Here is a 25,832-nt window from a genome sequence, read left to right on the forward strand (position 1 = left end):
TATATTTAGAAAACTCCATCGTCTCAGCCCAAAATCTTTTTAAGCTGATAAGTAACTTCAGCAAAGTCTCAGGATAGAAAATCAATGTGCAAAAATCCCAGGCATTCCTATATGCCAATAATAGACAAGCAGAGAGCCAAATCATGAGTGTACTCCCATTCACAATTGCCACAAAGAGAACAAAATACTTAGGAATACAACTTACAAGGGGCATGAAGGACCTCTTCAAGGAAAACTACAAACAACCTCTCAAGGAAATAAGAGAGGACACAAACAAATGGAAAAAAAATTCCATGCTCATGAATAGGAAGAATCAATATCATGAAAATGGCCATACTGCCCAAAGTAATTTATAGATTCAATGCTATTCTCATCAAGCTACCATTGACTTTCTTTGCATAATTGGAAAAAACTACTTTAAATCTCATATGGAACCAAAAAAGAGCCTGTATAGCCAAGCCAATCCTAAACAAAAACAACAAAGCTGGTGGCATCACACTACCTGACTTCAAACTATACTACAAGGCTACAGTAACCAAAACAGCATGGTACAGGTACCAAAACAGATATATAGATCAATGGAACAGAATGGAGACCTCAGAAATAATACCACACATCTACAACCATCTGATCTTTAACAAACCTGACAAAAGCAATGGGGAAAGATTCCCTATTTAACAAATGGTGCTGGGAGAACTGGCTAGCCATATGCAGAAAACAGAAACTAGACCCCTTCTTTACGCTTTATATAAAAATTAACTCAAGATGGATTAAAAACTTAAATGTAAAACCTAAAACCATAAAAACCCTAGGAGAAAACCTAGGCAATACTGTTCAGGACATAGGCATGGGCAAAGACTTCCTGACTAAAACACCAAAAGCAATTGCAACAAAAGCCAAAATTGACAAATGGGATCTAATTAAACTAAAGAGTTTCTGTAAGCAAAAGAAACTATCATCAGAGTGACCAGGCAACCTACAGAGTGGGAGAAAATTTTTGCAATCTATCCATCTGACAAACGTCTAATATCCAGAATCTACAAGGAGCTTAAACAAATTTGCAAGAAGAAATCAAACAACCATATCAAAAAGTGGGCAAAGGATATCAACAGACACTTCTCAAAAGAAAACATTTATGCGGCCAATAAACATATGAAAAAAAGCTAATCATCACTGGTCATTAGAGAAATGCAAATCAAAACCACAATGAGATACCATCTCACACCAGTTAGAATGGCAATTAATAAAAAGTCAGGAAACAACAGATGCTGGCAAGGCTGTGGAGAAATAGGGACACTTTTACACTGTTGGTGGGAGTATAAATTAGTTCAACAATTGTGAAAGATGTGGAAGACAGTGTGGCAATTCTTCAAGGATCTAGAACCAGAAATACCATTTGAGCCAGCAATCCCATTACTGGGTATATACCCAAAGGATTATAAATCATACTACTATAAAGACACATGCACATGTATGTTTATTGCAGCACTATTTACAATGGCAAAGACTTGGAAGCAACCCAAATGCCCATCAGTGATAGACTGAATAAAGAAAATGTAGCACATGTATACCATGGAATACTATGCAGCCATAAAAAAAGAACGAGTTCATGTCCTTTTCAGAGACACAGATGCGGATGGAAGCCACCATTCTCAGCAAACTAACACAGGAACAGAAAACCAAACGCCGCATGTTCTCACTCATAAGTGGGAGTTGAACAATGAGAACACATGAACCATAGGGAGGGGGACATCATACACCAGTGCCTGTTGGAGGGTGGGGGGCAAGGGGAGGGAGAGCATTAGGACAAATACCTAATGCATGCCGGGCTTAAAACCTAGATGATGGGTTGATAGGTGCAGCAAACCACCATGGCACATGTATACCTATGTAACAAACCTGCACATTCTGCACATGTATCTCAGAACTTAAAGTAAAATAAAAAATTTAAAAAAGAAAGTTACTGAGGCTGATTTAATGGTCTAGTATGTGATCTATCATGAAGAACATCCCACGTGTGCTTGAAAAGAATGAGTGTTCGGCTGTTGTGTGGAGTGGTCTGCAGATACCACTTAGATCTACTTGGTTGCAATGTGTTTGAGTTTTTCATTTCCTGTTGCTATTCTGCCTGATTGTTCTATCCATTATTGAAAATGAAGCATTGATGTCTCCAACTATTTTTGTTGAAATGTCTATGTCTCCATTCAATTCTGTCAGTTTTTGTTTTACATATCTTGGGGCTCTGTTGTTAGGTGCCTATGTTTACAATTGTTATTTTACCTGAAGAATTGGCTTTTATCATTATAAAATATTCCTCTTTATCCCTAGTAACACTTTTTGTTTTAAATTTCTGTAAGTACTCCAGCTCTCTTATGGTTGCTGTTTGCATGGTATGTATTTTTCATCCTTTTACTTTCAGCATTTTTGTATCTCTGAATCTAAAATCTGTCTCCTTTAGACAGTATATAATTGGATATTGGTTCTTTATCCAATCTATCTCTGCCTTTTTATTGGATTGTTTAATCCATTCACATTTAATGTAATTATGAATATAGTTGAATTTGTCTGCATTTTACCTTTTGTTCCCTATATGTCTCGTGGTCTCATGTCTTTTTATTGTTGTTGTTGTTAATCTATTCCTCCTTTACTGATTTCTTGTTTAATTAAGTGAATATTTTCTAGTGTAATTTTTTTTATTCCTTTCATGGCTTTTTCACCATATTTTAAGTTATTTTCTTAGTGGTTGCTCTACAGCTTACCACATATGCTTAACATATCAGAATCTACTTCAGATTTATATGAACTCCAATTATATGTTGGCATGTTATCCTTATATTATTTGTTATATTTTCCTTGTTTATATTATCCTTTCTTATTTACCACTTATTATTCTCTTCATTTGTCTTTTCTTTAACTTTTTTTTTTTTTTTTGGTATAGATGAGGCCTCACTGTGTTGACCAGGCTGGTCTTGGAACTCAGCCTCCCAAAGTGCCGAGATTTCAGGCATGAACCACCCTGGCCACCTTCATTTGTTTCTGTGGGTCTGAGTTACCATCTGTTGTGACTTCTTTACTTCAATACAATGTTGTTCCCCATACCTCCTTTGTGCTATTGTCAAATATATTCAATTTTTGTTTGTTACAGGTCCAGGAATACAACCATATACATATTGTTTTACACAATTGATTTTCAAATCACTCAAAGAAGAAATGTGCATTTATACTGTCTTTTGTAATTCATTATTACATTTCTAGGGCTCTTTTTTTTTGGTGTGGATTCACATTTCCATCTGGGATCACTTTCAAGGCAGATCTGCCAACCATGAATTATTTTGGCTTTTGTTTATCTGAGAACTTATTTGGCCTTCATGTTGAAAGATCGTTTTCAGGCTATGACAATCTTGATTTACAGGTTTGTTTGGGTTTTTTTTTCAGTCCTTTAAATATGTCATCCTACTGCCTCCTGGCCTTCATTGTTTCTGATGAAAAGTCACCGGTTAATCTTGTTGGAGTGACCATGACCATGACCATGAGGAGTCATTTTTTTCTCTTGCTACTTTCAGGATGTTTTTTGGTTGTTTTTTGTTTTGTTTTGTGTTTTGCTTTCGGCTTTCACTATTTACTATGATGAGTCTGCATGGGGATTTCTTTGCATTTATTCTACTTTGAGGTCACAGGGTTTCTCAGATGTATAGATGAATGTGTTCAGCAAATCTGGGAAATTTCCAGGCATTATTTGTTCACATATTTGTTCTGTCTTTTCTCCTTTTCTTCTCAAGTAAACCTGTGATGAGGATGTTGGTGACTGAAAGTTGTCCCACATTGCTCTGAGGTTCTATTCATTTTTCTTCCATTTTCTGTTTTTCAGATTGCATATCTCTATGAATCTATATTCACATTCACTGATTCCTTCTTCTGCCAGTTCTAAACCACCATTGACCCCCTCTAAAAAAATCTTTTTCAATTATTTTTCAACTCCAACATTTTCACTTGATTCTTTCATAGTTTCTTTTTATTCATAGTCTGTATTTGAGTCTCTATTGATAGTTTCTATTCATACTCTCACTGTCTTCATGTCTTCCTTTACTTCTTTCTTGTAGAAAGTAAAAGTTCCTCTTCAAAGTTTCCCTTCTTGTTAAAGAATAAATCATGAGTGTTAGAAATAATAGTTTCTTTTAAAGACTAACTTTATGCTAGACATGCTCATGGACATGTAGTACATTCTGTGTCCTTGTACTTTAACCAAGATATCTGTGCTGGACGTGCTCACAGGCATGTCCCAGCTCGCAGCCTATACCCCTTCCTTATTTGGGAATGTTATTACTTTTCTAATTCTTTCATAAGCAGCTTCCTCTTTTCCTTTATCCTTCCATTACTTTTACCTATTTAGAAAAGTTTTATACTGTTAGCCAATCGGGTTTTAGTTTAAATTGTGCTGTCTGGCTCTAGCCAATGGAGACAGGACACAGTAACAGGGACAAACTGCATAAGGGATAAAAATTGCTTCCCTCCTTTGTTCAGGTGTGCTCTCACCATTATTCCATCTGCGAGGAGCACCCTTTCTGCAGGAAGTAAAGATTGCCTTGCTGAGAGAATTAAATTTATGTTCAAGTGCTATTTCTTTGCAGCACCGGGGAGCAAGCATTTACATATAACAATTCTGCATGGTTTTCTTTATTTCTTTGACTGTATTAATGATGGATACTTGGAGGTCCCTGTCTGTTAAGTCTGGCATCTGATCCCTCCCATGGGCAGCTTCTGTTACTGCTCTTTTCCCTGTGTATCCGTCATGCATTCCTATTTATTTTAATGTCTCTTAGGTTTTGTTAAGAACTGGACATTTTAAATAATATTTTATAGTAACTCTGGATACTGATTCCCGACCCCCCACCCCCTAGGGCTTGTTTTTGTTGTTGTTTGAGTATTTATTTCTGACTTGGCTAGGTTACTTTAGTAACATTTATTTCCCCCGTAGAATGGCATTTCCCCTTTCAGTGGCATTCTCTAGTGGGCTCAGCCTTGGGTGTATACACAACCACCCTAGATGACAGCAGTTTTGTTTTCACTGGGGCTATTCCTGTCTCTTTCCCTGATCTCTCTGTTAAGCTCTCTGCCTCATTTGCCATTACCCTCAGCCTGTTAAGCTCCACTAATTACCTGCTGGTCGCTCTATTGTTTTTCACTAAGCCCTGGGGCATTAATTGCTCAGCATACTAATTCAATTAAATCCAGGCAGAAATAGTTTTGAGTTCCAGTCTTAGGTTGATTCTGACCCAGGAGGGCACTTCTTAGCTATCTCTTTACTTAGTTCTTCCAGCAAACTAGCTGGCCCGTGGTAACAGCTCATTGCTGTTAATTAGGAACTATTGTTTTCTTTTCTTTTTAACTTTAATTTTAGGTTCAGAGGTACATGTGCAAGTTTGTTATACAGGTAAACTCCTGTCATGGGGGTTTGTTGTGCAGATTATTTCATTACTCAGATACTAAGCCTAGTACCCAATAGTTATTTTTTCTTATCCTCTCCCTCCTCCCACCCTCAATTTTAACAGCACCTGATATATGGAAGGAACTCAACGGTTTCCTGAATTTTTGACTTAGCTTTCTTACAATAACGTATGATTTACACTTGTCTCATGCAGGCTAAAGGCAGAGGGAGCAGGCAGGGCTGCTTGGGGGTCTAAACCCACAAAGCCTGCCCCTGGGAAAGGGACTGGGTGCTGTGAGGCTTAGAGGCTCCAGCTCAGCCTGAAAGGTGCAGGTCAGGCCTCTGCTGGGAGGCAGGCAGCCCTTCAGGGGTGATTTTCATGGAGTGTGAAACTGGACCAGAGACCCCTACACACACCCGAGGCCCCTGGGCTCAGAGGTTAGAGGTCAGATGCTGCCCTTGTCTTCCTGTTTCCCCAGGAGGAGGCTGCCTACAGGACCCAGGACGATGGCACCCGGGTGCCCAGTGCACGCCTGGGGTCCCCACCACCAGTACCACCCCACCTACCATAGGCCCAGGACCTTGGGCTCAGCCCCAGCCCCAGAGGAAGGAGGAAACTGACAGGTCCAGGACCTTGGGCTCAGCCTCAGCCCCAGAGGAAGGAAGAGACCAAGGACAGCAGCACCTGGGTGCCCAGTGCACGCCTGGGGTCCCCACAACCAGTGCCATCCCCACCCCCTGCAGGCCGAGGACCGTGGGCTCAGCCCCAGCCCCGGCCCCAGCCCCAGCCCCAGCCCCAGCCCCAGCCCCAGAGGAAGGAGGCTGCAGGGCCCTCCACCTTCTGTACTCAGGGCCTGTCTGGAGTTTTCCTAATTAGCTCTCACTGTCTCCAGGTGATGTGAGCCAACTGCGTGTGTGTGACGCTATTCACAGCACACAGGGCAGAGCTGGTGCTCCCAACCACAGGTGTTCAGGGCACAGAGGCTGCCTTACTTGGCCTGGTTACACATGCAGCTTCTCTATTGATTGTCCGTCAAGCGAGCCTGCTCCAGACCCAGCTTCTGGGAGTCCTGAAGGACCCACAATCCCTAGGGTTATCCTGCCCGGCAACCCTAGGTAGTCCCACATCCTCCACCCACCAGCACAGGGGACGTTCATGAGCCCCACCCAGGCACAGAGCTGTGGGGAGGGGGCGTCTCGTGGAAGGTGAGCCTGGAGGCAGGGCCGTGCCCCTGGAGCCATACAGGGGCTCAAAAGGACCTCCTTTCCCCTCCTGGGGACACCAACTGGACTGCGTCCAGCCTGGGCCCTGGGTTCTCAGAGCTTTTCCCGGGAGAAAGACACCCCAGCCTCCCCTGACAAGCTTGTTCCCAGGACAGCAGCCGGGTTGGACGCCCAGTAAGGGGGCCTTGCCTCCTGCCCTCTCCATCAAGACAATCATACAGGGAAGAAAGGCTTCAGTGCCAGGGGAAAGTAGGGGGCCTAGGACAGAAGCAGCCCCCGGGGGAGGCAGGGGTCAGCCTCCAGGAGCTCCCGGTGGGGAAGAGCCTGGCAGAAATGTGAGCAGTGCTCTGGAATGAGTCAACCAGCGACAGCAGGCAAGTGGGGGCACCCTCCAATTGTCCTGAGAAGGGCCAGTTTCTGAGCCAAGGCTGCAGCAGCCTAAAGTCCCTGCGGCTGCAGCCTCCATCCCACCAGTCACAGCGACCAAGCCTTGTGGGGAAGACCTCGCCCTGCTCCCCTCTGGCCAACCGGGGTCTGCACTCTGAGCCTCTCCAGAGTGTCCGGCAGGGCCTGCAGGGCAGGAGGCAGCGCCCACTCCGTGGGGAGCACAGGTGCCCTTCACCCCTACCCCACCCACAGGGCTCCAGGCAGGACAGGCAGGGCAGGGGTCCGCAGCCCCCCACATGGCCATCCCGGGGCTCCACGGCATCACATGGAATGTCTCTGAGCAGCTCTGCCCGAGCCTTCCCCTCCAGAGCAGGCCCCGACCCCCAGCCCCAGGCTCACCCCAAGGCCCCCGTCCTCAGCCAGGGCCCCCATGCACTGCCCCAGGTGTCCCAGCCCTGATGGCTACTCCCCGGGGGTCCCACCGCAGTCCCTGTTTCACCCCTGACCCCTCTGCTGGGACATCCAGCCAGGGACCACTGGGCCCTGTGCCCTCCCATGGGGTTCAACGTCCCCACCCCATGGCGGCCTTCTGGGGACTCCCGTTGGGATCGTGGGGGCAGCACCAGTATGGGGCAGGGGACAGAGCCGATTCCCTGCGCAGGTGTGGTTTGGTCCGCGAGGGCTACGGGGTCCTGGGGGAACGGTGGGCGGCAACCAGGAGAGCCCGGCAGGGACCCCCCCCATGCCAGGCCCAGTGCGGCCAGGAGGACCCAAGAGGGGTGAATGAATGAATGAACGAATGAATGAATGAGGGAAGGAAGGGGAGGGGAGGGGAGGCCAGGCCCTGAGGGCAGGGCAGGTCCCACCCCTGTCTCAGGCCCCCCATGAGGCAGATGGGCCCACCCTGCAGGAGCCCCTCATTCACTGCCCTGGGAGATTCCCAGCCATGTCCTGCCCTGCGGGGCCTCGGGGTCCAGGGAAGAAGTGGCCCCCTCCGGCCCCTCACAGAGGCGCCCGCTGCACCTGAGGGTCCTCGACCCCACCCCGCCATCCCCCGGACCCCCGCCCTGGGCTCCAGCTTCCTCCCCACCAGCCCCACCAGCCCCGGGAAAGGCCACGCTGTCTCCTGCCTCCCCGCGGAGGTCTCATGAGCCGCCGCGCCCCGGGCTGCGAAGAAACACCCCAGTCCCCTCCCCCGCGACCCTCCCTGCCTCCTGGGTACCCTGCAGACCCCACACGGGACCCCCAGGCAGGTGTGACCTCGAAGAGAAGCCACATTTCACCACCTCCTCAGAGACTCAGATGAAGGTCCACACACTAAATGCAGATCTGGAGGAGGCGGAGCAGGGTCACTTCTGACTTTTTTTGTTTTTGTTTTTGTTTGAGATGGAATCTCGCTCTGTCGCCCAGGCTGGAGTGCGATCTCGCAGTGGTGCAATCTCGGCTCACTGCAAGCTCTGCCTCCCGGGTTCACGCCATTCTCCTGCCTCAGCCTCCCAAGTAGCTGGGACTACAGGCGACCACCACCAGGCCCGGCTAATTTTGTTTTTGTATTTTCAGTAGAGACGGGGTTTCACTGTGTTAGCCAGGATGGTATCAATCTCCTGACCTTGTGATCCGCCCACCTCGGCCTCCCAAAGCTCTGGGATCACAGGTGTGAGCCACCGTGCCCGGCCCAGACTTTTCTTTTCTGTGAATGCTACATGTTTTGGCATCTAGCCTGACAGGTAGAATTTACTTGCAAGGACCTCACATTGATCATCAGTCAAGGATCAGGGCTCCAGAAGTAAATCATACAGAAAGTGATCACACCGTGTCTCAGGCCACACATGGCCCGTGCGTGCCAGTCCCAGGCCACACATGGCCCGTGCACTCCAGGCCCAGGCCAAGCCTGCGGCCGAGTGGGCAGGTGACCCTGGGAGGAGCAGAGGAGACGGGAAGGCAGGTGCCCCTCAGCTCCCTCCAGCGCCCACCTGGCTGTGGTTTCTCAGCGGGAACAAGAAGAATGAAGACCAAACCCTGAGGGGAAGATGTTTCCCAGCCTCTGGGCCAGAAAAGCTGCTCCAGGGAGGAGAGGGGTTGCACATGGTGCCCCACGTCCCCTGTCAGAGGCCGCTGGCAGGACCACATCCCAGAGCCCCCCCAGAACCCGGGAGGCGCAGGCCTGGAGCCCAGCCAGGCACACACCAGGGCTACTCTGACCCTGGAAAGAGGTTAGAAACAGCCGCTGTCTGGATTCTCAATGACAAAGGGATGGATGTTGAGGAAGACAGAGGGGGAGTGGGTGTGGGAAGGAGGACACTGAACAGAAAGGGCCTGGATGCCCACGATAACAAAAGCAAAAGCTGAGGAAACTTCACAGGGGGCAGGGTTGGAAAGAGGAGGGGTGGGGTTCAGGCTAGACAGAGGAGGGGTGTGGTTTAGGCTGGACAGAGGAGGGGGTGGGGTTCAGCCTGGACAGAGGAGGGGTGTGGTTCAGACTGGACAGAGGAGGGGGTGGGGTTCGGGCTTGTTCTGCAAACCCAGCGTGGGTACCTCGGCCTTTCTTATCCCCAGCATGCACTTGGAGCCTGTGCCCCTCACCTGTCGGCGCTCCCAGCTCGGGGGTTTGTGCCCCTTCCTGGTCCCCTCCCCTTGGGTGTTGCCGGGACCTGTTTCTTGCTCCTAAGCCACATCATAGGATCAAAGCGATAGAGTGTCCGTGGCTAAGTGTGTGTGCACGACCACACCACGCACGATTGTGACCCTGCCTTGCTGGAGCCGCTGTCTCCTTTGCTGCGGGAACACAGCAGCCGTGCTGGGCAACACCACGTACCTGGGACCTTCGGTGGCCTCTAGCACCAGAGTGCAGCCTCTGGACAAAAGCCAGTGAGAAAATGAAGCCGTCAGTCCTACAGTTGGAAGGACGGATGGTTGCCAGCACCCTGAGTGAGCGTGGAGGTGAACTCTGCCCCAGCTCAGCCTCCAGCCCAGCCGCCACCTGATGGCAGCCTGTGGGCCCAGCAGAGGACCCCACGAAGTGGCGCCAGACCGCTGGCCACAGAGACTGAGATGACAGATGTGTGTCGTTTTGAGCTGCAAGATTTGTGGTGACCTTGTTACACAAGGACAGACGCTAACACAACGGGTTCCCACAGCAGGTCTCCAGGGCTCAGGGAGTTCTAATCACGAGACCTCGGGGGGGGTCTTTCGGCTGAGTGCAGAGAATAACGCGGCTGAAGGTCACGGCCAGACGCCTGAGGACCAGCCACTGACACCCTCAGCATCGAGAGCTGCTGCCGAACTGTGGCCAGGCCCTTTCCTCTTTTTTTTTTTTTTTTTTTTTGAGACAGAGTCTTGCTCTGCCGCCCAGGCCCAGGCTGGAGAACAGTGGCGTAATCTCAGCTCACTGCAACCTCCATCTCCCTGGTTCAAGCGATTCTCGTACCTTAGCCTCCCAGTAGCTGGGATTACAGACATGCGTCAGCACACCCAGCTAATTTTTGTATCTTTAGTAGAGGTGGGTTTTCACCATGTCGGCCAGGCTAATCTCGAACTCCTGGCCTCAAGTGATCCACCTGCCTCAGCCTCCCAAAGTGCTGGGATGACAGGTGTGAGCCACCGCGCCCGGCCAGCCAAGCCCATTTCTAAGAACGTCCATGGGAAGGAAGGAGGGATGTAGCCAGGGCCAGGACCACCCCAAGAGCAGAGTGATGGGTGCGGGTGGGGAGCAGAGCTGGAAGGGGCCCAGGGGCCGTGGTTCGTGGACCTCAGGCCCAGGCCAGCCCCCGAACGCTGCAGCTCCTGGCTCTCCAAGCAGCTTCCTAGGGACCATCAGTAAAACTGTGACAGCAAACCCACAGTAATGTGATTTAATTAAGAGATAACGACAGTGGAACTGGGAATTGTGCCGGGTAACGGGTCGTCATCGCCTCGGGAGCAACAACTCGGAACTCAGGATATTAATGCATCACCGTGGCACTGTTTGGGGAGAATTGCCGTGTTTTTCAAATGCCTTCAAACTTCTATTTTCCTTCCACAGTCTCTGAGTTTGCCCCAGCCCCCCACTGATTAGTTCCAGCTACATCTGCCTTTTCTCATTAAAAGAAAAGCTTGTGCATTTTATTTTCAATTAACTTGCAGGAATCTATCAGGAGAAAGTCCAGCTGAACCTCATCATTCACAGTGCAATTTCTCAGAACCGCCAGGGACGGCAGGTGTGATCCAGGGTGGGGCTGGCCTCCCACCTGCTGGGGCACGTGCACTCCAAGGGCTCTCTCGGGCCAGGGCCGCTGCGCTCAGCCTCCTGCACAGACGCACCTGCTGGGGCACGTGCACCCCAAGGGCTCTCTCGGGCCAGGGCCGCTGCGCTCAGCCTCCTCCACAAAGCAGGGAGTGTGGGGAGAGGCCTCATCACACTTCCCACCTGGCAGCAGGTGCCTGGACACCTGAATCTCCTCCACTCTGCCCTCCAGTCTTGTCCCCTTGAAGACACATGGGGCAGGGCCAGACGGCTAATGCGTTAGGATATGGGTTCTGGCCTCTGGCAGCTCTCAGAGCCTGCCTGGCGCTCCCTTGGTGAGAATCTGACCTCTGGGCACCTCTTGACTCCCCTGGCAAGACAGAGTGGCCTGAGGGAGCCATTGGTCCCAGGGGACACTCGCCAGGACCCTCCCGCAGGCTGTGGATGTGTGTGGCCTGTCCTTGGCTTCCCTGGACCAGACCTGCCCATGGGCCTCTGGTGTACGTGGGTTCAGTGCATGGCTCCTGGGAGAAGAGTGGCTGTTTAGCCACTGAAACATCACCTTCCTCACAGCTCTTTCCTCTTATAAGTTTGTGCCTTTCTCCAGGCCCCAGCTGTGCCCAGTGGCAGGGATGAGATGAGATGTTCTGAAGTACTCGTCAAAGGCCCGGAGAAGCATCGCATGGGACAGGAGGGGAAGGACTCCTGGGGGCACGTCCTGGGCCTCTGCCCGGAGACCCAGTGTCTTCCTGCCAGCATCTGCTGCCAGGCAGCAGCACCTCCTCCAACACCTCATGCCAAGCATTTAGTGTTTTGTTTGGGAAGTCGCCGGGCACAGCCTGTCTTGCAGGACGCAGGAGAGGACACTGGAAATATCACTCATCATCAGAACAACCCTGTTCTCCAGGGCTCAGCCCTCACCTCCACTCCTCAGGGCACGGACAGGTGGGCGGGGCCGGGAGCCTCCGCAGCCCACACCCCTGCGAGGGGTCTTGCAGGAGGGGAGGCATCTGCGGCAGAGCCCAGCGTCCCCACTGCCGGCATCCCTGCCTGTCTGCAGTTCAGCCTGGCTCCCAGCAGGCCCGGCAGCATCTCCTCTGTGAGCTCCCAGCCCCCTGCCACTGCACATCGCAGGGCAGCCTCACCTCCCCATCCCTGGGAGGACAGGGTCCCTGGAGCGGACACGGGAGTGGGGCCGCCTCACATTTGCTCCCAGAGCAGACCCTCCTGCTTCCCTCCACAGCAGGCCCTCCGCGGGAAGCCCCCTCCCATGCCCTGTCCCCCACACAGCAACCCCGACCGCCTTCACCCAACCTGCCCCACCCCCGCTGCAGCCCCTTTCCAGCCCAGCTCCTGCCCCCCACCGACCCTCCTCCTTCTAGAAGCTTCTCCCCTTGGCATTCAGGTGAGGTAAGAGACTGGCAGGACTAGTTTTCTGGTCCCAGCCCCACTGACCCAACCAGGACCTGGTCCAGGCAGGATGAAGTGAAAAAACCAGCAGAAACCAGCAGACGATGAGAGGCAGATCCCTGGCTGCCCTCACTGCTCATTGGCATCAGACATGCCCACCAGTGCCATGACAGTTTACCAATGCCCCATAAGGTGCCACCCCTTTCCATGGCAACGCCCCATAAGGTGCCACCCCTTTCCATGGCAACGCCCCATAAGGTGCCACCCCTTTCCATGGCAACGACCCATAAGGTGCCACCCCTTTCCATGGCAACGCCCCATACGGTGCCACCCCTTTCCATGGCAACGCCCCATACGGTGCCACCCCTTTACATGGCAACGCCCCATACGGTGCCATCCCTTTCCATGGCAATGACCCATATGGTGCCACCCCTTTCCATGGCAACGCCCCATATGGTGCCACCCCTTTCCATGGCAACAACCCATAAGGTGCCACCCCTTTTCATGGCAATGACCCAGAGGCTACTGCCCTTTTCCTAGAAAATTCTAAAATGACTTGCCCCTCAATTTGCATTGGCCCATCCTTAATTTGCATGTAATTGAAAGTGGGTTCTCATGGGTATAAGTATAGCTGCCAAGCACCCATACACTGTTGGCTGTGGGTGCACTGCCTAGGAGTTAGCCCTGTCCTCAAGAAGCAGTACCGTTCAATGAAAGACTGCTGTCCAACGCCACTAGCTCACCCTTGAATTCCCCTTGGGGAAGCCAAGAACCCTCCCAGGCTAAGCCCTAGTTTGGGGTCTTGCCTGTCCAGTAACAGGGGGCCCTCCCTCTGCCACTTCACTGCCCCTTCCTTGTTCCCCCTCCAAGTGCAGTGCCCAGAACCCAGACACCACCCACTCACGGGACCTTCCCTCTTTCCAGAGAATTCTGAGTCTCGGCCTGGCTGTCCTAACTCCCCTCCCCACAGCTTTTGACTTTCACCTCCACTGGGCTGTCCAGCCATGACCCCAGCCCCCGGCCCCTTCCTGTTACAGCTGGAGGGTCCTGACTCCCACGTCCCCCACAGGGGCCCCCAGCAAAGCACAGCTCCAGACCTGTGGGCCCCATGCAGGCACCATGGTTCATACCTGTAATCCCACCACTTTGGGAGGCTGAGGCAGAAGGATTCTCTCGAGCCCAGGAGTTACAGACCAGCCTGGGCAACACAGCAAAACCTTGTCTCTAAGGAAATAAAAGCAAAAATAAAGAAAATCAAGATGGTAGCAGCAGAGCAGGTCCTCCCACGCGTGCTCGCCCAGCATGTGGCTGGAATCCTGCCAGCTCTGCCCCTCTTCCTGCAGGTGAATGATGGGGACCCTGCACAGTGCCCCCCTCCTCAGAGTTGCCTGCCCTGATGCCCACACAATGACAGCCCCGCCCTCTCCAGCCCCTGCTGTGTCCCTCCACCTTCACCCCACAGTGACTGTGTGCTTCTGTCCGAGTCCCCATGAACCACAAGCCCGTGGTTGAAGGTCTCTTCCTGTTGCTGAAGCCCCAGTCCCTGGTGTGTCCCCCAGGCTATGGTAGGGGTCCCAGAGCATCTGTTGACCACTGTAGTCAGTTCCAATTTCAGACATCAGTGTCCACAGGGGCTTTGGTGCGGATGCCAGTGCTTTGGGCTGGCCTCTTCTACAACTCACCTCCAGCCATGTCATGGCCTCAGCTTAAATCCCTTCAGATGCACGACTGACCAGGCCAGCACAGCAGCCCGTCCACCTGTCTGGGTGACCCTCCTGCCCTGCTGGCCTTTTCTCAGGGCCAGGCTGCAGGTTAAGGCTACAGTGAGCTATGACTGCACCAATGCACTCCAGCCTGGGTGACAGAGCAAGACCCTGTCTCAAAAAAAAAAAATTATCAAAATCAAAAATGAAAGATGGGATATCACTACAGATCCGACAGAAATAAAAAGGATGATAAGAGAATGCTATGAACAATTTTATGCCAACAAATTACATAACCGATTAAATGGACAAATTACTGAAGGAAACTACAAAGACTTACTCAACAAGTAAACAGATTGAAATAGTAATTTTTGAAATTTCCACACTGAAAAGCACAAGGACGGACGACTTCACTTGTGAATTCTACCACACTCTTTTTTTAGTTGCTGTCAACAAGCTTATTGTCTTTATCTGGAAAATCCTCATAGAAATTGTTTGGTTTAGCTTTCAGCAGCCTGCTCCTGAGCTCTGAGGAAGCTTGCCTTCTTTTGAACTACCCAGTCTTTCTTCTGAGCAAGGGACGTTTTCACCTCTTCTTTTTAACTTGTTTCTTAGGCTTCTTTTCATAGACTGGATTATCTTGTATAGCAGCATGAGCTTTCTTTTTTTTTTTTTTTTTTTTTTGAGATGGAGTCTCGCTCTGTCACCCAGGCTGGAGTGCCGTGGCGCAATCTTGGCTCACTGCAACCTCCACCTCCCAGGTTCAAGCGATTCTCCTGCCTCAGCCTCTCGAGCTGCTGGGATTACAGGCATGAGCCACCAAGCCCGGCCACAGCATGAGCTGTCTTATACATCTCCTCCATCATGTCTGGAGTTAAGCTTTTTTTTTTTTGGTGGAGTCTCACTCTGTCATTCAGGCTGGAGTGCAGTGGCGCGATCTCAGCTCACTGCAACCTCTACCTCCCAGGTTCAAGTGATTCTCCTGCCTCAGCCTCCCAAGTAGCTGGGATCACAGGCACCCACCACCACATCCAGCTAATATTTGTATTTTTAGTAGAGACGAGGTTTTACCATGTTGACCAGCTGATTGTGAACTCCTGACCTCAAGTGATTGCCCTACCCCGACCTCCATAAGTGCTGAGATTACAGATGTGAGCCCCTGCGCCTGGCCTACCCTGTTCTTTATGTATTGAGAGAGTTTCTTGTAAGCATCTTCATCTTCCTCCATTAAGTAACGCATGTAATCTGCAACATTCTGGCCTATGATGTGCTTCCAGTGTACTTCTGCATTAAATTCTTTGCTTTCAGAATCATGACCAGGGAATTGTTTGGTACCGTGAGGGACAGACCAGCCTCCATCCACAGCTCCCTTTAGGGCACCAAAAACTTTATTGCCAGCGGCAGTTCTGGCAAGCTCTGCATCCAAAGAGTAGACAAAGGCACCCAGCTGACCATCTATGCTCTCCACACTGTATTCATCGCCAGTCACCTCCACTTGGCCTTCTTAGATCTTGTCCAGGCCAAACCTATTGAGAAGCCTGCGGGCCAGCAGCAGGCCAGGACAATACACTGCAGTGTCATTTGTCAGGCCAACCTTCACACTATATTTTGGCAGTTCGTGTGCATATGCTACACAGACTATCATATCCCCCTCTATACGGGCATAAGCAATCTAACAAATGATATCTCTGTTTGTTACACAAACTATCATCCTGTATTTGGATATGTGGTGTTTATTTTTATCCTGTATCACCAAATGTTTCTGAGCATAGTGATCAGTTTTACCCTCGCCTCATCGTCTAAATTTCACTTGGTATCTCTTAAAGCAGGCCTTATTCTTAATTTTAACAAACCCCATCCTATGGAACAGAGACCCACGTCTGTGGCTCAACAGAGACCTACGGGCCCAGCAGCGCAGGGCAGGGAAGGGCTTTACCAAGCATTTAAATAAGAAACGCTAATCCTTCAAACATTTTTTCAACATAACGGAAGAGAAGGTAAGACTTCTAGATATGGTTTGGATGTCTTGTCCCCTCCAAATCTCATGTTGAAATGAGATCTCCAATGCTGGAGGTAGGCCTAGTGGGAGGCATTTGGGTCACAGGGCTGGATGCCTCAAGAATGGCTTGCAGAAATGAGTGAGGAGAATTCACTCATTATTCCTGAGGCCTTCACCAGAAGCAGATACCAGCATTATGCTTCCTGTATAGCCTGCAGAACCATAAACCAAACAAACCTCTCTTCATTATAAATTACCCAGCCTCAAGTAATTCTTTATGGCAGTGCAAACTGGAGTAACATGCTTCCCAACTAATTCTGAGGCCAGTATTACCCTGAAACCAAAACCAAAGATATCACAAGAAAGAATATCCCTTCTGAATACAGATACAAATATCCTTAACAAAATACAGAATTCAGCAATGTATAAAAAGGATTATATCCTAAAACCAAAAAAGAATTTATCCCAGGAATGCAAGCTTGGCTTAACATCCAAAAACCAATTAATGCAATACATTAATAGAATAAAGGGACAAACCACATGATCATCTCAAAAGACACAGGAAAAAATAGAAAATTGCAAGTGTTGGTGGCGATGTGGGGAAATTGGAACCTCGTAAACTGCTGGTGGGAAAGTAAAATGATGCAATTGCTTTGGAAATCAATCCAGCGGCTCCTTAAAATGTTAAACAGGGCTGGGCACAGTGGCTCACACCTGTAATCCCAGCACTTTGGGAGGCCAAGACTGGCAGATCACCAGAGGTCAAGAGTTTGAGAACAGCCTGGCCAACATGGTGAAACCCCATCTCTACTATAAATACAAAAATTAGCCTGGTGTGGTAGTGCACGCCTGTAATCCCAGCTACTCCGGAGGCTGAGGCAGGAGAATCATTTGAACCCAGGAGGTAGAGGTTGCAGTGAGCTGAGATTGCATCGCTGCACCCCAGCCTGGGTAACAAAATGAGACTCTGTCTCAAAAAATAAAAATGTTAAACAGAGAGTTAATGTATAACCATGCAATTCACTCCTAGGCATATGCCCAAGGGAAATAAAAACATACATCTAAAAAAACATATATGCAGAGAGATAATGATGGCTGACAGGCACAGATAGTATGTACCTCCTCCATGGAGAGATCATGATGGCTGACAGGCACAGATAGTATGTACCTCTTCCATGGAGAGGAACAAAATAGTAAATAGATGTGCACATTTTGAACAGACCATCCCAGAGAGAATGCTAGGATTCACCAGAGATGAGACAGGAAGCACCAGAAGGAAGTAAGGAGAGGGCTCACGGCAGCTTGCCCAGCCAGGAACTGACAGCCTCCAGGTGGGAGTCTCCTGGACATGCCTAAACATGCCTCGGGCCCGACATATGGAGCTGCCTGAACATTACACAGAGACGTCACTCCAGAAAAGGGAACCCACAAAGAACCTCACAGGCATTGAAACCTGGAGCAGCCTCAGCTGAGGCCGTTTTGAGAGCCTCACTACCAGGGATCTAACAACATGGCTGTAGCCACTGCACTGCTCCAAGGAGACAGGGGAGACTGGGCACTACCACACACTCCTGGGAGGTGCCCTGTCACCTTGCTGTGGTCTGCTGTTGGGACCGATGCATGAGCAGACCACACTCCACACAACTTCTTACCCAAGCTGCTTGCCTAGGAGAAACCCCACCCACTCTGGTCTCAGGCCCAAGGCACCAATTGGAGAGTTGAGCACTGAACTGCACCCTGACCTCGGCCTGAGCTTGGGCTGAAACCACTGCAGCTGTTACTCAACCAAGAAAAGACAGGGAAACTAGGCTACCTTATGTATGTCTAGGACAAGACCCACTGCCCTGCAATAGGTTGCCGTGAGACTGAGATCCAACCAGACCACACTTCCTGCAGCGTCCTGCCCATGCTGTTTGCCTGGGAGGAGCCCCGCCCTCCCTGGTCTCAGGCCCGAGGCACCAATTTTAGAGTTTAACGCAAAGCTGTGCCCTGCCCTCAGGCCAAGTTTGACTTGACATGGCTGCAGCTGCTGCCCAGTCAAGGAAGGACGGGGAAGCTAGGCTCTCCTACACATACTCAAGACAAGACCCACTGCCCTGCTATGGGCAGCTGCAGGACTGGGGACTTCCCCTACCCAACCCATCGCAGCTTCCAGCAACAAGAACACAGACTGTTTGGATCCCAGTGGGTTGCTTCACCACCACTGCCGCCATCACCCAAACCACAGCAGCTGCCCCGTTGGTAGCGATGGGGTGAATGTGCTTATTTTTAGGCTCTAGAGCAGCTTACACTGGCTGCAGCGTTGGTGGGTCCTGGGGCTGATTCTTGGGCCTCCAGGTGGCTTGCTTAGAAGCTAGTAGTGGGAGCAGTGGGCCCAGGATGTGGTTTAGGTGAGGGTTGAAATATTACCTATTGGGTACAGTGTTCACTGTTCTGGTGATGGGTACACTAAAAGCTCTGACTTCAGCACTATGTCATGTATACATGTAAGAAACCTGCACTTGTATCCCCTAAATATATTTAAAACTTTAAAATTTAAAAAAAAATCACCTGGGCCGGGCGCGGTGGCTCACGCCCATAATCCCAGCACTTTAGGAGGCCAAGGCAGGCGGATCACCTGAGGTCAGGAGTTCAAGAACAGCCTGGCCAACATGGTGAAACCCCATCTCTACTAAAAATACAAAATTAGGTTATGGTGGCACATGCCTGTAATCCCAGCTACTTGGGAGGCTGAGGTAGGAGCATTGCTTGAACCCAGGAGATGGAGGTTGCAGTGAGCCGAGATTGCGCCACCGCACTCCAGCCTGGGCAACAAGAGCAAAATTCCATCTCAAAAAAAAAAAAAATCATCTGTACCCACACCCCCTCACATTTGTACACACCCACACACAATTTTGTTCTCCCAGGTGAATGATTCAACAGCCAGCCCCAGACTGCGTATGATGTTACCCTCCCATATTTTAGCATGTATCTCTAAAATAAAAGGATTCTAAATAAAGATAACCATGATATCGCTAGCAAACCTAACATTTTTATTAAACAATCGTTCCTGTCATCGAATATCTTGTCAATGGTCAAATTTCCCCAGTCATCTCATATATTGGATCAAATAGGGATCCAAACATTGTCTACACTTTCCAGTCAAATCTTTAAGGAGATCTCAGTAACTGCCCAAATTTTATAAACTCAATTTCACGTTTAACCACAGCTTTATCACTTCAATTTTCTTTTAAAATGTAGATTCTGAATGGCTGGTAGTCTAAGCTTGTCTGGGCCCTGAAGCTCCCCTTGGTTTCAAGTGTGAAGTGACATCAGCCCACACCTTCAGGTTGAATAAGTCTATCTTACAATCTAGTTAAGAAAAACTAGCTAGGCCTTTTAAAAATGTTTTTATTCTTTCTTGTCAGGGAGTAGACTTTATATTCTGCCCTCCAGAATATAGAGTTTATTTATGGTAACACTGTTTATGACAACTTCAGATGGGAACTAACCCAAATGTCCATCAGAAAGAGCTTGGCTAAACAGACTAGGTTATGTCCAAGCAATGGAAAACCATGCCACATTTAAAAACAGTGAGGTGGCTGGGCGTGGTGGCTCACACCTGTAATCCCAGCACTTTGGAAGGCCAAGGCAGGTGGATCACTTGATGTCAGGGATTCGAGACCAGCCTGGCCAACACAGTGAAACCCCGTCCCTATTAAAATGCAATAATTACCCGGGTGTGGTGGTGGGCGCCTGTAATCCCAGCTACTTGGGAGGCTGAGGCAGAGGAATCACTTGCACCCAGGAGGCAGAGGTTGCAGTGAACTGAGATCGCGCCATTGCACTCCAGCCTGGGCAACAGAATAAGACTCTGTCTCAAAAATAATAATAATTAATTTAATTCTAAAAATAAAAAAATAAAAACAGTGAGGTCACTCTATCTGTGATAACGTGAAAGTGCCAAGCTATACAGGTGAATAAAAAAATTAAACAGTGTGGGGAAAAAACAGACTTGTACATAAATCTTCACAGCAGCGCTATTCACAATCCCCAAAGTATAAACAGCCCAAGTGCTCGTACGCTGATGAATGGACAAGCAAACTGTGGAAGCCCCATGCAACGCAGTGTCGTTCAGCCACGGGGAGACGTGAAGCTCTGACACCTGATACAGCCAACGCGCTGTAAACCATTGCACCAGGTGTGGGAAGTCAGGTACAAGAGGACCGGTACGGTATGATTCCACTCACAGGAAATGTCCAGAACGGGCAGCTCCACACACTCAAAGCCAATCAGTGTTGCCAGGGGCTGGGGGAAGAGGAAGGAGGAGGGACTGCTGATGGGAACGGGTGTCCTTTGGAGGTGATTGAAAGATTCCAAAATTGACTGTGATGATGGTTACACAGCTCTGAGAATGTACTAAAAACCAGTGAATTGTGTGCCTTAGATGGGTGAATTTTCTCGTGCCAATGATATCTCAGTAAGGCTGGAAGGACACAGACCTGGTCAGCGAGGAGGGCCTGGGCCTTGCTAAAGTGGGCAGAGTCTGTGGGGTCCATTGGCTCAGCCCCAGCCTCTCTGTGCAGCCCTGGGGCCTGGCTTCTTCTGCCGCACCCCACAAGCTGCCCCCTCTCCCCAGCCGGGGCCCCAGGCCTGCTCCTCTCTGGGCTGAGCATCACCTTTGCCAGAGGAAGGTCAAAGCACCTGGACCCCAACACCCCAAGGACCCTTGCAGGCCTCTTCCGGGATCCACTTCTCAGTGAGCGCTGCCGTGCGCACCCCTGGGCCTGAGGGCTGGGCATCTCCCAGGTATGCAAGGGGCTCTCCGTGCAGGGCTGTGAGCAACGTGGGGGCAGCCGGCCGCAGTCTCCAGCCCCGGGGCCTGCTGGCATCCCCACCAGCCCCCAGCCTGGGCACCCCACCCAAGGAACCCGGCTCCCAGAGTCCGGGGCACTGATTAATATTCACACAGGCAGCAGAGAGCTGCTGAACCCTGAACGCGAGGCAGGGAAGAAAGTTGAAGCATCTGCTATCTATAAATCAAAATGAATTTACTCTTCCTCTAAGGACAGCCGCTGTAATAGGCCGCAGCCAACAGGTCCCATGGTGTGATTTCTGCGCAGGAAGCCACTGCTCACACCGGGTGTGGAAGCATTTGTAACCCCCAGGGGACCTGCTGCTCCACAGAACCCGACGGAAAGCTCGAGGAAGGCCGAGCTTCGGGGGTCACAGGCCGGATGCCGGAGCTGCTCCATGGGTGGTGCCCGAGGGAGCCCTGGGAGGAGCCGTCAGCCCAGGCAGTGGGTGGAGACGGGCTCTGCCTTCTGCCTTCACCAGCTCCGCCCAGCTCCCGGGTCACCCACCACAGCCCCGCCAGAGCAGGCAGACGTGCAGATGCCAAGGCAGACGTGCAGATGCCAAGCCGCACTTGCTCACTAAACTCACGTCCTCGCTACAACGTAGTTGTCGAGTAAATGCTCTCCATGGATTAAAAATATAAGCAGAGATGGCCGGGCGCGGTGGCTCACGCCTGTAATCCCAGCACTTTGGGAGGCCGAGGCGGGCGGGTCACGAGGTCAGGAGATCGAGACCATCCTGGCTAACACGGTGAAACCCCGTCTCTACTAAAAATACCAAAAAATTAGCCAGGCGTGGTGGGGGCGCCTGTAGTCCCAGCTACTCGGGAGGCTGAGGCAGGAGAATGGCGTGAACCCGGGAGGCGGAGGTTGCAGTGAGCCAAGATCACACCACTGCACTCCAGCCTGGGCGACGGAGCGAGACTCCGCCTCAAAAAAAAAAAAAAAAAAAAAAAAATATATATATATATATATATATATATATGTAGAGACATGAATGCCGATTCTTATGATGCTTATTTATTCATGAAACCAATGGCTTACCTGCCAGAAATTCAGTCCCTGGGTTGACACCAAACCCAACTGTTGGCTTTTCCTGCTGAATGGAGGGGCTGGGAGAAGCCGCCTCCAGCTGGCAGCCTCAGACCTGTGTCTACCTGGCAGGCCCCCACCCAGGTGGGGACAGGCCACCAGGCGGGAGTCACTGGGGCACTGCTGGGGCTCAGGACACTTGCAGGATGAGTGAAGGAGGAGGAGAGGGAGGAAGACAGAGAGGACCACCTCGGCCACTCTGACCTTGCCTCCTGGCCATGCCTGGGTTCTCAGAGGCAGGAGCTGGGGGGCTGCAGGGCTGGGGGCCACAACGACTCTCCAGCTGCTGTCACCCTCCCTGGCAATGAACCCCAAAGCCCCCACCTCCCCACCGCGGGTGCCAGACACAGGCCTGGTGCAGGTTCCACGTTATCCATGTCAGTGTTTCCCACGCAGGGCCAAGAATTACCAGGACCCTGCTATCATGGCCCAGCAGCATCCGTCAGCCACCACTCACCTCGTTCTGGCTCCAGCTACTCGTGCCAGGGTGGGGAGAAGCCCGGGAAGCCAGCTCCCCACGAGCCCCTGGCTCAGCCTCACAGCCTGACTGCATCATCCGAGCCCTTGGCCCTGGCCTGCCCTGACCCTCCTGTCCCCAGGCCCGTTTCCAACCTCCAGTATCTGCAAACAGAAAAGGACAGTGCCCCGCCCAGGGGCTTCCCTTACAGCCCCTGCGGGGAGTGAGGCCGCCCCACTGCAGGTGGGCCTGTAGCAGCTGCACCTGAGGCAGGGCTGGCAGCCCCTGTGGGGAGGGAGGCCGCCCCACTGCAGGTGGGCCTGTAGCAGCTGCACCTGAGGCAGGGCTGGCAGCCCCTGTGGGGAGGGAGGCCGCCCCACTGCAGGTGGGCCTGTAGCAGCTGCACCTGAGGCAGGGCTGGCGGCTCCTGTGGGGAGTGTGGCCGCCCCACTGCAGGTGGGCCTGTAGCAGCTGCACCTGAGCCCGGGCTGGTGGCCCCTGTGGGGAGGGAGGCCGCCCCACTGCAGGTGGGCCTGTAGCAGCTGCACCTGAGGCAGGGTTGGGAGGAAATGGCCACCCGGGTCAGCCAAGTCAGATGGGAGCGGGATGGGGAGGAGCCCAGTGGGCCTGGGGCCTGCAGCCACCCCCACAGCAGCACACCCAGGGCAGGGTGCATGGGGACCCCAGGCCCTCAGGAGAGAGCTGGACCTGAGTCCATAGCGGGCACGGGAACCAAACCAACCGGGCTGCTGGACAGGTGCCTTCCAGCCCCGCTGACCAGCCCTGTGGCCAAACGGACGTCAAAGCAAGAGTGCCGCGCATCCCCCAGGAGCCAGAGTGGGAGGCTGGCACAGCCTCCTCGGGCAGGTGTGGGCAGGTGGCCCCGACCTCTACAAGGTCATGCATTTTTTTTTTTTAGTCTAATTAAAGATTGGTCAATTTTGTTTATCTTTTCAAAAAACTAACCTTTTGTTTTGTTGATTCTTTGTATTGTTTTCTAGTCTCTATTTTGTTTAGTTCTATTCTGATCTTTATTATTTCCTTCCTTCTATTAATTTGGGGTTTGGCTCATTCTTGCTTTTCAGTTTCTTCGAGGTGCACTGTTAGGTTGTTTACTTGAAGTCTTTCTATCTTTATATATGTAAAGTGTATCTCTTTATCTATCTATCTATGTAGATAGATAGATAGATACAAAGAGACAGGGACTTGCTCTGTCACACAGGCTGGAGTGCAGCGGTACAATCGTGGCTACCTGCAGCCTCGACCTCCTGGGCTCAGGTGCTCCTCCCCACTTAGCCTCCCAAATAGCCAGGACCACAGACACACACCACCACACCCAGCTAATTTTTGTATTTTTAATATAGATGGAGTTTCATTATGTTGGCCAGGCTGGTCTTGAACTCCTGACCTCGTGATCCACCCACCTCGGCCTCCCAAACTGCTGGGATTACAGGCATGAGCCACCGTGCCCGGCCCTGACTGTGTCTTTTCCAATAGCCTGTCTTTGAGCTCATTGATTCCTTCCTCTGCTTGACCCATTCTGCTGTTAAGAGCCTCTATCAATTTTCCAGTTCAGCAGATGTTTTTCTCACTTCCAATATTTCTGTTTGATTTTTTAATTTCAATATCTTTGTTAAAATTCTCTGATAAGTTTCTGAATTGATTTTCTGGGTTATCTTGGAGATCGCTGAGTTTCCCTACAACTGCTATTTTGGATTCTTGATCAGAGGCTCACATGTGGCCATCTCATTAGTCACTGGTTCCTTGCTTTGTCCCTTTGAGTGGTTCACAGTTCCCCGTTTGCTTGTTTCTTGTGAATGCACATCTGCGTCTTTGCATTGAAGGATTAGTTATTTATTCCAGTCTTCTCTGTCTGGCTTGTTTTGGTTTTTACTGGGTATGTTTGCTTAGAGACTCTTTGCCATGTACCTGTTGAATTTTTTTTCTGCTAGGTTGCTGCCTCCTTCTTCGGCACTAGAGGGCAACATAAGTCCAGGTTTTCCTCAGCTCCAATAAAGGATCAGAGTGGGGCTTCCCGTCCCAAATGGGGAAGGTCCCACAGGGGATAGCCCGGCAGTGTGGGAAGACTGGCTGGCGGTCCATGCCCAGGGAACCTATGGACTGTGCCTCCTACCATGTAGCTGAACAGCCTGACTTGGTGCCTCCTTTGGCTGCATTACAGGGCAGTTTTTAGAGCTGGAGATGCTAGTCCCACCTCTTCCCTTTGTCTCTGGCTGGCCTCAGGGATATTTCTCCTTTAAGCATTCTGAATGCTTCCCTTGGGTTGAAGCAGAACAAGTCTCCTGCCAGGGAGCCCAAGATACTGGGAAGCTGGTAGTCCACCTTGATCTCATTTTTCCAGTGCAGAAGCCATGAGTCAGGGGAGATTTGCCCACACTTGGTGCAGGTAGACTGGGGGAAGGGACATCATAGATATAGAATTCCAGTTCTCTTACTGCTTGCTCAGAGTTTATTCACTTCTCTGTGGCCCTGGGGACTGTCTCATCCTCGTATTTGAGTTCTGGGATGTTGCTGGAGATAATCTTGGTGCTGAATATTTGTTTTGGATTTTCTGTGGCAAAGAGTGAAGCCAGCTTGCTTCTATGCTGCCATCTTGGAACTAGCCATCTCCTCAATTCTTTTTTCATTTGCTTTTAATTATAGGTGATAATAACAAGTGAACTCCATAAACCAGCAGGCGCCACGTGTGGGTGCATTTGCCACATATTGATCCTCCAAGGTGGGGGTTGGCTAACCCACCCTGGGCTCTACTCCCCACCCCCCACCTGGCTCGCCCGTGGGGGCGCCATGGGAGGCCGGTTGCTGAGCCCCAGAACCTGGCTGTCCTCACCTGTAGGACAGGATGGGGTGGGGAGTCAGAGGAGGCAGGGAGGAAGTAGAGGGTCTTGGTGCTTCAGACTGGGAGTCCCCACAGCTGAGCTGATGTTAAAACTCTGGGGCGAGAGATCAACAAGAGATGTGCTTCATTTGCAACGGGAGAAACTGTAATGAGATGAGGTAGAGCTGCACTAAGAGTCAGTGAGCAGACATTGTAAGTGAATGCTAATGTCATGAAAT

General features: G+C 50.8%; 1 pseudogene, besides 3 other annotated features; it reads right to left on the bottom strand.

Moving 5' to 3' along the window:
• Positions 14,812-16,298, bottom strand: RPL5P35 (ribosomal protein L5 pseudogene 35; annotated as a pseudogene).
• Positions 17,554-17,853: an enhancer, noted in NCBI's record as "active region_19280". NCBI's record gives its function as "activates an Ori minimal core promoter by ATAC-STARR-seq in GM12878 lymphoblastoid cells {active_cell/tissue: GM12878}" and the evidence as "EXISTENCE:reporter gene assay evidence [ECO:0000049][PMID:35858748]".
• Positions 20,567-21,350: an enhancer, noted in NCBI's record as "H3K27ac-H3K4me1 hESC enhancer chr22:50156966-50157749 (GRCh37/hg19 assembly coordinates)". NCBI's record gives its function as "activates a minimal SCP1, AML or CMV promoter by ChIP-STARR-seq in naive H9 embryonic stem cells {active_cell/tissue: H9 hESC(naive)}" and the evidence as "EXISTENCE:reporter gene assay evidence [ECO:0000049][PMID:30033119]".
• Positions 21,351-22,133: an enhancer, noted in NCBI's record as "H3K27ac-H3K4me1 hESC enhancer chr22:50157750-50158532 (GRCh37/hg19 assembly coordinates)". NCBI's record gives its function as "activates a minimal SCP1, AML or CMV promoter by ChIP-STARR-seq in naive H9 embryonic stem cells {active_cell/tissue: H9 hESC(naive)}" and the evidence as "EXISTENCE:reporter gene assay evidence [ECO:0000049][PMID:30033119]".

Source organism: Homo sapiens, chromosome 22 (assembly GCF_000001405.40).
Source record: "Homo sapiens chromosome 22, GRCh38.p14 Primary Assembly".
Classification (NCBI taxonomy): Eukaryota; Metazoa; Chordata; class Mammalia; order Primates; family Hominidae; genus Homo; species Homo sapiens.